The 13,550-nt window shown below is 35.8% G+C and overlaps 1 protein-coding gene across 6 annotated transcripts in view; it reads right to left on the bottom strand.

Annotated features, from left to right (window-relative positions):
* The window catches only part of TMTC2 (transmembrane O-mannosyltransferase targeting cadherins 2), a 447,961-nt gene that overhangs the window by 201,734 nt on the left and 232,677 nt on the right, over positions 1 to 13,550 (bottom strand). For all 6 annotated transcript variants that reach the window (XM_017018884.3, NM_152588.3, NM_001320321.2 and 3 more), the window contains one exon: positions 2,588 to 2,702. In XM_017018884.3, the coding sequence (XP_016874373.1) occupies positions 2,588 to 2,702 (115 nt within the window). The remainder of the gene's footprint in view (positions 1 to 2,587; positions 2,703 to 13,550) is intronic.

Genomic DNA, 13,550 nt, shown 5'->3' with positions numbered 1-13,550 from the left:
CCCATCATATTAGTAAAAAATATCGTGGAACTATATTGGGCACTTACGACATAACCTATTTCCAACAATTACGGGGAAAAACTGATCTTGTCAATAACCACTCTTCCAGTACAGATTTTTCGCTAGGAATTGGGAAGGTCAATTCCTATGCTGTCATGACTTATATATGCATCCACAGACAGACAGTCCTAAGATGTAATTTTAAAATTACATGTCAAGTGAAATTTTCTAATTGAATACATTTCTCTTCTCAGTAAAGAATAAGCCTGGATAAACACTCTGAATCCTTGTCCAACAGGTATCACAAAGAGGTGGGCAACGTTTTAACCAGGGACTATTGGATAAGACAGAGAGAAACATTTCAATGAAGAGGTGTTCATTGTTCAGTTTCCTTTTCTTCCAAAAATGTATGAAGGATCGGAACCAGAAAAGTAATATCCCATACTGCAAGGCAAGAGGCCCCCTTTGACATCACTTTCAGATGCAAAAAGTGTAAAGAACATATGTGTGAATACATTAAACTCATAAGATTCTTTTTCATAAAATAAAAATAATAAAAAATATAGTAATATAACACTATTTAGATGAAGAGGACTTGAGCCTTTGTAGGAGTACCTAGATATGTATTTTCATTCAAGAAAAGAAAAAGATACAAATTCAAATTAGTTCAGCAAAGATGATGGTAAGATACATGGTGAAGCAGGACACAGAAGAGGAGTAAGTAGAAGGAACAGTGTGCTGGAGCAGGTGTGCTTCATGTGAAAGAATTCCAGGTGACAAAGAAAAAAATTACACACTGTGAAAGCCGACACAAAACATATCTGCTGACCTAATTCAGACCACAGGCCGCTAGATTGAGATCCCAGTGTTAAAGCCTACGAGGTTAAACACGAAGTCAACGTATGAACAAAAAATTAAACTGAGCTCATCCTGTCTGCTTTCCCTTAAATATCTAGATTTTTTCTGTTTATTTTTAGTTATTTTTTTAAGTATCTGTGCCTTTAGACTTAGCCAATACAAAAGATTCAGCTAACCAGAGCATAAATACACATTTTAAAAGTTTACAGATTAGTTTAATACTGTCAGTATCACACAGCATTCATTAAACACAAGCCGCAAGCACCTTATTTTACCTAGGATCAGTCATCTTCCTATAGAGAACTGTTTTGCCTCCATTCCATTCCAACTCTGGAGGTGCTGTCAATGGAAGTGACTCGTTGCCCCTCCCACATCACTCAGTGTTTCAACCAAGAGACGGCACAGAACTGCAGGAGGGTCAGTCCAACAACTTTTTCCGGGATTAATACAGACACTGAGACAAAACAGTTCTCTTTCCTTCTGAAATTGAGAAGAGTAAGGATGCTATCTATGTTTATAAAGACACAGGAATCATCTTTCCCATTGTTATAGAGTACCACAGAAAATGGAGCAAACCCAGAAGAAACCAGAGCCACAAAATGGAGAAACATTCCTGAAACACAATCAGGCACTAGATCTAACTAGGCCTGCATCTAGTCAACCCAGGAATTTCCAGTTAGGGGAGTTTATACATTCTCTGGTGTGTTCAAGCAAGCTTAAACTGGATTTCTGTTACTTATAAACAAAATGTTCTCATAAATATAAGAGACAAAGAAGAGATTTGAGTTTGGTTTGCATTTATCTACTCACATCTCGTTGTACCAGCTAGGACTGTCCACTCAAAGAACAAAACCAGTTTTTCCCCTAGGGATTTTTCTAACCCAACATACAAGAACATTCTAAACTATCCCAACCTCACTGATAATCATCAGTGCCTATGAAAAGGAAAACAAAAAAGAACCATAACCTTACTCGCTCACTTTTCTGGTATAGCACATATTCTATATATACTTTGATACAGCAATTTTTTTTTTAATGGAAGACAAAATCTATCATTAATAATCAAGGCTGGGCACAGTGGTTCACACCTATAATCCCAGCACTTTGCAGTGTGAGGCAAGAGAATTGCTTCAGGCCAGGAGTTAGGCACCAGTCTGGGCAATATAGTGAGTCCACATCTCTACAAAAAAATTTAAAAATTAGCCAGGCATGGTGACAGGCACCTGCAGTCTTAGCTATTTGGGAGGCTGAGGCAGAAGGATTGCTTGAGCTCAGGAGTTTGAGGCTGCAGCAAGCTATGACAGCGTCTCTGCACTCTAGCCTAGGCCGCAGAGTGAGATACTGTCTCATAAAAATAATAATGCTAATAATCAACACATGATTTGCATAACTCTCATACATAACAGGCTTATTTTATGAACTCATCTAAGTATTAATGGAACAAACATTTTAAGAACTAAAAAATATTTAAACCAATATTTATGTTACATGGCATACTACTTCCAAAAAATTCAGGCATAACATATAAGTACACATGAATATTGATGATGTGGCCCGAAACAAAGAAATCACAAACACCATCCACCTAATAGTCTCAGAGGCATGATTAACAAAAAGACTATTTCAGGACAATAGCTATCATCATCTCCATTTCCAGCAGTTAAATCAATAGTCCCTCTCACTGCAGGTTTCAAAGACGAACCAAACCAGAGAAGCAAGGCATACTCACAAATTATAAAGCATGTCAGCCATGTTGCTGCGGTAGTACAAAGCATTTCTATAGGCGCTTTCAGCTTCAGAAATTTTGCTCTGACTCTTCAGAACATTTCCAAGGTTACCCCATGCTGCCAAGAAGAAAAAGAAATTTTCAGACTGAGCATCAATCCAATTATACATGACATAATATCAGGCCATCAGGAAGTACCACAGGGAGAGAAAACCATCATAAAACATTTTTAAGAAGGAAAATGTATTTCCTTTATACTCTAACATTTCATCAGGCCAGGAGATTAAATATAATCAAAGCCTTAAAAAATTAAAGTAATTATTATGTCTCAAAGCAGATATACATATACAGTTCATCATAAGGCCAAGAACAATGTTATCTTAAGATCACCTACAAAGGCTTCATGCTCTTCCAGATTTCAGTAGGGGTCTTCATGGTCTGAAATTATTGTATACTTACTGGGCCAGAAACTGCAAGAAATGATCTTAAAATAAACAAATATTTCATTCAAGTATGAAAAAACTGATAAATGGCATAGAAGATCTGGAGATGAAAAGCAAAAAAACTAAACAAGATCAAAGCTATAAAGAAGCTTGCCAGGCATCAGAATACATCAATAAAACATTATAGATATAATGTTCTTTTATACTGTTTCTGCTTATGAGCTCACTTCCCTGAAAATCGCTATTTCTACACTTAATCATGTTGAAAATTAAATATATTTTCTGTGTACCCTTTGTTCTCCCCAAATAATAGTAATTTTTCAATATTAAAAATAACAAAAGGCACAGCACCAATAATTGCCCCCATAGTACGGCTCTCCAGTGAACCTTGCCCTCAACCTTGGCTTCTTTTCTTGCCTTCTTACTTCCTACAAGGAGATGGGGTATTGAGTCCTGAAAGCAGAGTCCCCCAGCAAATGATGAGGATGAGAAGAAGGGTCATGTGTGTTGAGATATATTTAGTTGGGTGACTACTGACTGTACCTGAAAAATGAAAGGGTTTTGAGTTATCAATTTTAATGCAAAAAAAGAGCACAGAATCTTTCAATCTCAGATTTGCCTGTGTGCCTCTAAGAAATTTAAAACTCCTGTGCTTCAGTTTACTTTATCTGTAAAGTGGGAAAATAGTGTCTCATCTGTTTCATGATGAAGTGTGTTAATATAAACAAGCTGTTTAAGACAGTGTCTGAGGCTGGGCACAATGGCTTGCACCTGTACTAGCACTTTGGGAGGCTGATGAGGCGAGTGGACTGTTTGAGCTCAAGAGGAGTTTGAGACCAGCCTGGGCAACATGGTGAAACCTCGTCTCAACAAAAAAATACAAAAATTAGCTTGGCGTGTTAGATGTCATGATCGCTTGAGCCCACAGAGTTGAGCCCATAGAGTCGAGGCTACAGTGAGCCATGATCACGCCACCGCACTCAAGCCTGGGCGACAGAGTGAGGCCCTCTCTCAAAAAAATAAAACAAAACAAAACAAAAAAACAAACACAGTGCCTGAAACATGGTAAACCCTCAATAAATATTGCTATTATCATTAATATTATTGTGTTTGATACTCTTTACAATTTACAATAGTTAAGCATTTCTTACAAAAATAACATTAAATACAATACACTTTATGCCCTTATGTTATCTACAGAGAACACAAATCCTTCACGTTTGCAAAGTCATATACCTTCTTTGCTTCCAATGGAAAACAGAGGAAAGGCATTGAACTCACAATTATGCAACAGCTAATAGTGCCATGTACCATGCCACACACTTGACATATATCATCTCACCAAGCTCTCAACACAGTTCCACACATAAGTGCCCATTCCCCAGATGAGGAGACAGAGGCACTAAAGAATTTGTAAAGTTAATACTGAAGTGTTACAGCAAAAACTCTAATCCGACACTGGCTGTTTCCAAACTTTTTCTCCCCTCTGCCTAACATTTTCATACCACATTTCATCTTTCACTGCAAACCAACATTCACATAGGCCTTGGCATTATGAGTCCATAGAAAATTGTATCCTTTAAATTAAAAGACAAAACAGTGTAAAATATTGTCAAATTAAACTACTAAAACTACCAGTAAAATAAAACTACTAGTAAAATAAATTATAATTATCTTCAAACATAATAGGCGTGATATCATAGGTATTCTATATCTACCACAAATTAATAAGATATCCCTCTATGGAAATTTCTAATAATTACGCAATTTTTAAACCCCTATTCCTCCCAAAGTTCTGCTCTGATTGTGTGATTACTAAATGAGAATATATTTACATTGGAATCTCTCTGAGAAATGCATTCAAATGTTAATTTAAGCACCAGGAAATCCTCATTATAATGGTATCCCATTTTGATAGTAGTCTTAGAATATAGATGATTAAAAAAAAAACTAATAGCAAAGACATACCTTTGAATATTTTAAGGCATTATTTCCAATGAAATAAATTGATTTCTTTGATACTTATATCTCAAATAAATAATAAACTAATAAGTGCTTCTCTTGTTGGCAACAGACATATAAAGGAAAACCTTGGAGATGTTGTGGGTTTAGGCCCAGACAACCACAATAAAGTGAATATCACAATGAAGTCAGTCACATAATTTTTTTTTGGTTTTCTAGTGTGTATAAAAGTTATATTTACACAATAATGTTGTCTAATAAGTTTGCAATAGCATGATGTCTAAAAAATAATGGTATACCTTAATTAAAAAATACTTTGTTGCTAAAAAATGCTAACAATCATCTGAGCCCTTGGTGAGTCTTAATCTTTGTGCTGGTGGAGGGTCTTGCCTCAACGCTGATGGCTGCTGACTGGTAAGGGTGATGGTTGCTGAAGGTTGGAGTGGCTGTGACAATTTCTTAAAATAAGACAACATAAAGTCTGCCATATCAATTAACTCTTCCTTTCACGAAATACTTGTCTGTAACAGGTGATGTTATTTGATAGCATTTTATCCATAATAGAACTCTTTCAGAATTAGTCTCAATCCTTTCAAACCCTGCAACTGCTTTATCAACTAAGATCATATAACATTCTAGTGCTTTGTTGTCATTTCAGCAATGTTCACAGCATGGTCACCAGGAGTAGACTGCACCTCAAGAAACCACTTTCTTTGCTCATCCATAAGAAGCAACTCCTCATCTGTAAATACGTTATCATGAGATTACAGCAATTCAGTCACATCTTTAGGCCCACTTCTAATTCTAGTTCTCTTGCTCTCTCCACGACCTCTGCAGTTTGTTCCTCCACTGCAGTCTTGAGCCCCTCAAAGGTATCCATAAGGATTGGAATCAACTTCTTCCAAATTCCTGCTAATGTTGATATTCTGACTTCATTCCATGAATCACAAATGTTCTGAATGGCATCTAGAATGGCAAATTCTTTCCAAAAGTTTTCCATTTACTTTACCCAGACTAATCCAGGGAATCACTGTCTATGGAAGCTACATCCTTACAAAAAGTTACTTCTTAAATTAGAAGACTTGAAAGTCAAAATAATTCCTTGATCGATCCATGGGCTACAGAACAAATACTGTGTTACTATGCATGAAAACAGCATTAATCTCCTTGTGCATTTCTGTCAGAGTTCTTCGGTGACGAGGTGCACTGGCAATGATAATCTTTTGAAAACAATTTCTTTCTGAGCAGTAGGACTCAACATTAAGCTTAATATATTCAGTAAGCCATGCTGTAAACAGATGTGTTGTCATCTCGGAAATCCAGTTCCACTTACAGAGCATAAACAGAGTAGATTTAGCATTATTCTTAAGGGCCCTAGGATTTTTTGAATGTTAATTGACCAATGGCTTCTACTGAAGGTTACCAGTTGTATTAGCCCATAAAAATAACAGTCAGCCTGTCCTTTGAAAATATGAAGCCAGGCACTAACACCTCTCTAGCTTTGAAAGTCTTATATGGTATCTTCTTCCAATAGAAATCTGTTTTGTATACACTGAAAACCCATTGTTTAGTTGTAGCCACATTAATCAATTATCTTAGCTATATTTTGTACATAATTTACTGCAGCTTCTCCATCAGTACTTACTGCTTCACCCTGTACTTAATATGTTACAGAGCTGGCTTCTTTCCTTCAACCTAATGAAGCAATCTCTGTTAGCTTCAAACTTTTCTTCCACAGCTTCCTCACTTCTCTCAGCCTTCATAGAATTGAAGAGAGTTAAGGAACTTGTTCTGGGTTAGGTTTTGGCCTAATGGAATGTTATGGCTGGTTTGATGTTTTATCCGGGCCAATAAAACTTTCCCGTGGCCGGGCGCAGTGGCTAATGCCTGTAATCCCAGCACTTTGGGAGGCTGAGGCAGGCGGATCACGAGGTCAGGAAATCGAGATCATCCTGGCCAACATGGTGAAACCCCATCTCTACTAAAATACAAAAAATTAGCTGGGTGTGTTGGCACACGCCTGTAGTCCCAGCTACTTGGGAGGCGAGGCAGGGGAATCGCTTGAACCCGGGAGGCAGTGGTTGCAGTGAGCCGAGATCGCACCACTGCACTCTAGCCTGGCGACAGAGTGAGACTCTGTCAAAAAAAAAACAAAAAAAAAAAACAATTTTCTCCATATCAGCAATAAGTCTGTTCCACTTTCTTATCATTCGTGTATTTGAAATGTGTTCCTCACTAAGTTTAATCATTTCTAAATTTTGATGTAAAGTGAGAGACATGCCACTCTTCCTTTCACTTCAAGGCCATTGGAAAATTAGCCTAATTTCAATATTTTTTTTGTCTCAAGGAATAGGGTTGCCCATGGAAAGGGAGAGAAATTGGGGAAGGGCTGATCAGTGAAACAGAACATGCGCAACATCTGTTAAGTTTACCATTTTATATGGGCATAGTCACAATGTTAACATCAGACATCACAGATTACCATAACAGATATAATAATTAAAAAATTAATATATTGTGAGAATTGCCAAAATATGACAGAGACATGAAGTCAGCACTTGCTGTTGGAAAAACGGCACTGACCAGCTTGGTTTATGCAGTTGCCACATTCAATTTGTTAAAAAAACATATGCAATATCTGAGAAGCACAAAAAAGTAAAATACAAGAAAATAAGGTATGCCTGTCGCTATACCTAGAATACATGTCCACTTATTTGGTTGATTGTTCATTTATCCATCTATTAATGTATTAAATATTTATTAATTTATTAGATATTTGTTAAGCACCTATTGTGCCAGGAACTTCATTAGGAGCTGGACACTTAGTACTGTTCAAAATAGTCAATTCCCACCCATGTGAGCTTATGCTGGAGATAGTGGAGGGAGGGTGGGATCTATACAATAAAATAAATGAATTAACTTCAGATAGTGATAAGTGTTATAAATAATGTAAAATAAAGTAACATGGTATGGATGAGGATAATTTAGGTATGGATATCACAGATTTAGGAAAATAGGTATGATCTCTACGAGCTAAAGGATAAGGAGCAAGCCTGGCAAGGACTGCTGATGCCACATAAGGAAAACACAGCAAAGGATCTAAGGCAAAAATGAACTTGATGTTTCCAGGAACAACACCAGTCAGTTGAGTGGCTGCAAAATGAGAGGGAAAGTCAAGATGAAGTCACAGAGATAGGCAAGGGTCCAATCACATAGGGTTTCATGTGCCACGATAAGAAGTCTGGGGGTTATTTTATGTGCGATATTTGGGGGGAAATATTCAGTGAGGGATTTTGTGATTTGACTTTCATTTTCGAAATGTCACTCTTGACTCCTCTGCAGAGAAGGTACTCACTGCAAGCGAACTAAAGGAGCAACAGGGGGACCAGCTGGAAGGCAACTGCGGTAATCTAGATGGCAAAATTACAGTGGTTTCCAACAGGACAGATGAGCAGCAGAGATGGCTATTTCAAAGTGAGAAAACAACTTAGAAATTAAAAATCATCAACAAGGTTAACTGAGGCAAAGTCACAATCTGAAACTAGGTTTCCTGCTTTTTATCCAAATGAAAATCTCTCCTATTTCTTATGATTAAGTAATTGCCCTAGATGCCTGCAAAAATCTTGTTTTCCTGTTGTACACACACAATTATACACAATTACCAGCTTCAGACAAGGTTACTCTGAGATCATGATAAAGCAAAACAAATAAAGACCACCTCATAATTTTGTATAAACACAAAAAAAGGAAAACGTCACTGTATAACCCACAAACTACCAAACATCCTCCTCTCTTGCTATATGAATGATTTTTTATCCAGACATAGAATTATCCTGGTATCCAATCAAAATAAAACCCTCACTTCCTTAGACTCTCTTCCAAATCACCCAACCAAAGTCAAAATCCTATAATAGGTCATATAATGAGATGCCTCAGAGTTCTCCATGGTGTAGCTGTTCTCTCTCAGCGCAAGAAGTAGTTAAGCCAACTTTTACTTCAGGTGTGGCCCTAGTGGTCTTTGGCTGAAGGGCATTGACAGAGGATTTCATTATCCTCAAATATAAAAACAATTCCTTCTCAAATCCTATCTTCCTTAAATTATTGCTCCACAATGCTGTGTTTATCAAAATAGATTTTAGGTTTTTGAAGAGCTGCCATAACTCTTCATAGTTGATTCTATGAGTTAATTCTTTAAGAAATTTGATCATATTAACCCAATCAACTTTTTAATATCATGTCAATTTTGAAATCTGACCTTTCTGACTACCTGGAAGTATGCAAACCAAATCCTAAAAGAAATGGAGGAATATTCCAAGGCTCATGGATGGGGCAATTTAACATTATAAAGATGTCAGTTCTCCCCAAATTAATCTATGAATTCTATGTAAATACAATCAATATTTTAGCATCATTTATTAAGAAACTCAAAAACTATATTTTAGCCATAATATATGAGAACAATGAGAACTGATTTTTATACCATATTCATGAAAAACAAAGATAAACCCCAGATAGCTTAAAAAGTTAAATGTGAAAAAGTAAAGCTAACAGAAGAATATGTAGAAGAATATATCTGTGGAATGGAAAAGAACTTCTTAAAAAGAGCCCCAAATATCATTTGAAATGTAAAAAAAAAATTAATGGATTTGGGTACTTCAAAAAGGACTTCTATTTAGTGAAGAACATTATGAACAAGTTAAATGTATAATATACTGGGAGAAGATATTTCAAACATCTAAACAAAGAAGTGTCTGTGCTTGGAAACTAGAAGGAACTCCTGCAAAGCAACAATAAAAAAATAAGAAATCCAATAGAGGAAAAATAGGCAAAGGACATGAATAGGATTCTACAAAAAGGAAAACCAAAATAAATACCAAGCATTTAAACTAATACTCAAATTTCTTAGTAACCCCCCTGAAATGAAAATTATAACAACAAGATATCTTTTATACCTAGACTGGCAAGAAAATAGAAAAATGGATAAGGTCAACTACTGGTAGGGATGTTGGGGAAGAATCCTGTGCACAGCTGGTGGCAGTGTGGCCCGGGGCAGACATTCTGTTATGCCATCTGACAGTACTCAGTCAAATGAACAAATGTAAGTGACTAAGTCAAAATGGACCTCTGTCTAGCAATCCCACTCCCACATAAATTCTCACCTTAGAAAGCACGTAAGAGAATGTTTAAATTCAAGTGTCTTAGTGTTGGCTGATAGTGGGTAGGAACAATATGTCCATCATGGGAGTACAATGTGGGTCATTCACTTTACACACTCCTATGCAGCATTAGGAACAATTAATACCATGTAAATACTGTTACATGAATGGACCATAACAGCCTACAGAGAATTTAAAAAAAAGGAATGCATTGTCATAACAATGATAAATATTAAAAATTGATTCATGCCCAAAATATCACTGTGTATTTAACATAGTGTATATTACAATTAAATCAAAGGTATATTTTAAATCAAATACATTACATACAAATCAAATATGTTAGATCAGCTGTCTATGCTGCAAAGAGAAAACGAAGTTAAGAATACAGATAAAAGGGGATTAATACATGAATAAAATAGAGGAAGCTTACAGGGATTAACCTGAAACTGCAGTGAAGGGAAAAAAAAAGAGAAAGAGAAGGAAAAGGAAGGTAGGAAAAGAAAGGAAACAAAATAAAATTAAGGTCACACATCATCTTCTTTTAAAATAGAGATGCAGTTATGCTATATCCTACTTAAGGAATAAAAGGTTTTAACATACACTTAACCTTTTTTTTAGAAAGATAATTCAAAACAGATGTTTGGGATTATCTTCAAATTTTCACTTTGGTACTTATTCTTTGGACCACTCAAAGACTTTGTATTTTCATTAACATTTAATATAATGTGCATTTTTTACATGTTTAAGCCTGTATATTTTATTGGTGTATTCATTTCATATAATCTTTTAAAAGTGCAATTTTATTGAAATAAAATTCTCCAAGTTCTTTCAGTGAAGTGTGATGAAGTGTAAATAACAGTTACAAATGCTTTAAAAGTCCACATTTATTTTTTCCTGTTGCCCAGGCTGGAGTGCAGTGGCATGATCATGGCTCAGTGCAGCCTCAACCTCTTGGGCTTAAGCAATCCTCCCACCTCAGCCTCCCGAGTAGCTGAGACTACAAATGTGCACCACCATGACTGGCCTTTTTTTTTTTTTAATTTTAATTTTTGTAGAGGTGGGTCTCACTATGTTGCCCAGGCTGGTCAAAAACTCCTGAACTCAAGCGATCCTCCCACCTTGATCTTGCAAAGTGCTGGGATTACAGGAATGAGTCACTGCACCCAGCCTAAAAGTCCACATTTTAACAGAGTATGTCTATAGATGAATGCAAATCACACTTTCAACCCTGGATATAATATAATAAAGCATTTATCTGAAGTTCAAAAAATATAATTGTTGTTCCAAAATCCCAATCTAATTTTGAAAAGTTTTTTCCCAATGAAGTTTCCAAATATTCAGAGTATTCATTTCATTCCTGTTTTAAACAAAATAAACTTCATATGAAACTGCTCTAACTTGGAAGGGCTACTGCTCCATCTCAAGGGCCTGCATTGCAGCACTGTGACAGCCTAAAGAGAGCGAAAGAATGGGAAGGGGAGAAGGAGATGAAGAAGAAATTTTAAAAATTATAATAAAAATAACAACAATAATAGTATTTACATTTATTTAACAATTACTACATCCTTGGTAGTCTCCTCAATTCATTTAAACTAATACAAACATTTGGGGTCTATAGTATTACTATCCTCATTTCACAGATGAGAAAACTGAGGTTAAGCCTCCTAAGTAGCAGATGTAATAACAAGGAAGATTCAGATATGTTTCCAGGCATCCAAATGTGGTCAGAGGCAAGGCTATTTCACCCTCTCAATATTGAGTTTGAATAGAAGGTAGAATATCATAAGATGGTACTTAATATGTTTTAATAATTTTAATTTAGGGACTATAGCATAAATATGAAAACAAAATTATCCAAATGAGTTATCCTCTCAGAACTGCTAGGGGGAAAAAAAAACCCTCAGTAGTAACAAAATAAAACTATCTGGTATCCATATTTCATAATATATTTTTCAGACCAGAGAAAAATTAATGCCAAGTAGTATATCAAATGTTTTACATTTCTTTGGGAATATAATTTTATATGTCATATTTTCCTGTTAACATATTGGAACTGAACATATCCTGCCTACGTAAACAAATGGTTGTTGCTCAAAGATGCCGGCTGGGAACTTTGGTATATTTATCCATTCTTCTTAGTGCCCTGAAGATACTTTACATGTGACAGAGATTTAATAAGCATTGTTTAATAAGTAAGCAACTTCAATCCTAAGACTAAGCATATATAATTAGTATATTAAGAGAAGGCAAACAGACACTTCTAAATATCACTGGATAAGCTCTAGAAAATATGATCTGTGGAGTTATTTTATATTCAAAAATAAAAAGAAATTCTTCTGCTAAAAAAAATCAAGAAGTGAAGAAGTAGGAATAACTCTTATATCTCAAGGGCCCTTCACATTGATATTAAACTAAACTACCTCTAAAAGGTATCCATTTACTAAGAAACTTGATGTTAATTCACAATGAAAGCTTCTCTTGTACTTAGTCCACAGTCTGCCATGGTTTGATGTTCTTTGAAAGGCAGAAGAACAATTAAATATTCCCATCTTGCTGAAGTTGTTCTAAAGAGAAAATCAAATGTGAGGTCCCTCTAGAAATGCTGTGATCTGCTACAATAAATACCTCTAAATTTTTTCAAAGTTCCAATTTCAAATACATGGTAGTTTTAAGTTTATAGAGTAAATTCAAACTTACTCTGAAGTAACTATTGCAATTTCATATCTCTGATATACTTCACAAAATCAATACAGGGAGATTTGAGAAAGTTTTTTAAGATTTTTTCTTATGTTAGTAATTTGAAGAAATTATATATATTCATTAATTATAAAAGAAGTTATAATGAGTTTTTCATAATTTGGCATACACTGCTCTTTGAAAAAATAGCTAGAAGAGCAGAAAACAGACTAATATAGAAAATTGATACTTAGAGCAGGGTTGTTGCTATAACAACACCTGAAAATATGGAAGCAGCTTTGGAACTGCATAACGGGTGGAGGTTGGAAATTTGGAGAATCAGGCTAGAAAAAGCCTATATTGCCATGGGAGGGCTCAGAAGACCACAGAACTGTAGAGCTACCAGTGTACGATGCCAGTCTGAGAGAGCGGAAATGTGGGCTGAGCCCAGCAAAGCCATGGGCGTGGCAGTTCTCAGTGTCTTGAGAGCCCAACCCCTATATCAGTGTGCTCAGGATATGGGACATGGAAACAAAGGAGATTATTCTCCAGTTTTAAGACTTCGTATTGTTTTCCCTACTGGGTTATGGATTTAGTAGGGACTAGTTACTCTTTTCTTCTTTCCTCTTTCTCCCTTTTAGAACGAGAATGCCTACCCTATGCCTGTTTCACTGTTGTATTTTTGAAGTAGATAACTTGCTTTGATGTTACAGGCTCACATCTGGA

Source organism: Homo sapiens, chromosome 12, assembly GCF_000001405.40.
Source record: "Homo sapiens chromosome 12, GRCh38.p14 Primary Assembly".
In the NCBI taxonomy this organism is placed as follows: Eukaryota; Metazoa; Chordata; class Mammalia; order Primates; family Hominidae; genus Homo; species Homo sapiens.
The sequence above is the reverse complement of the archived record's forward strand: the minus strand, read 5'-3'. Positions and strand labels throughout refer to the sequence as shown.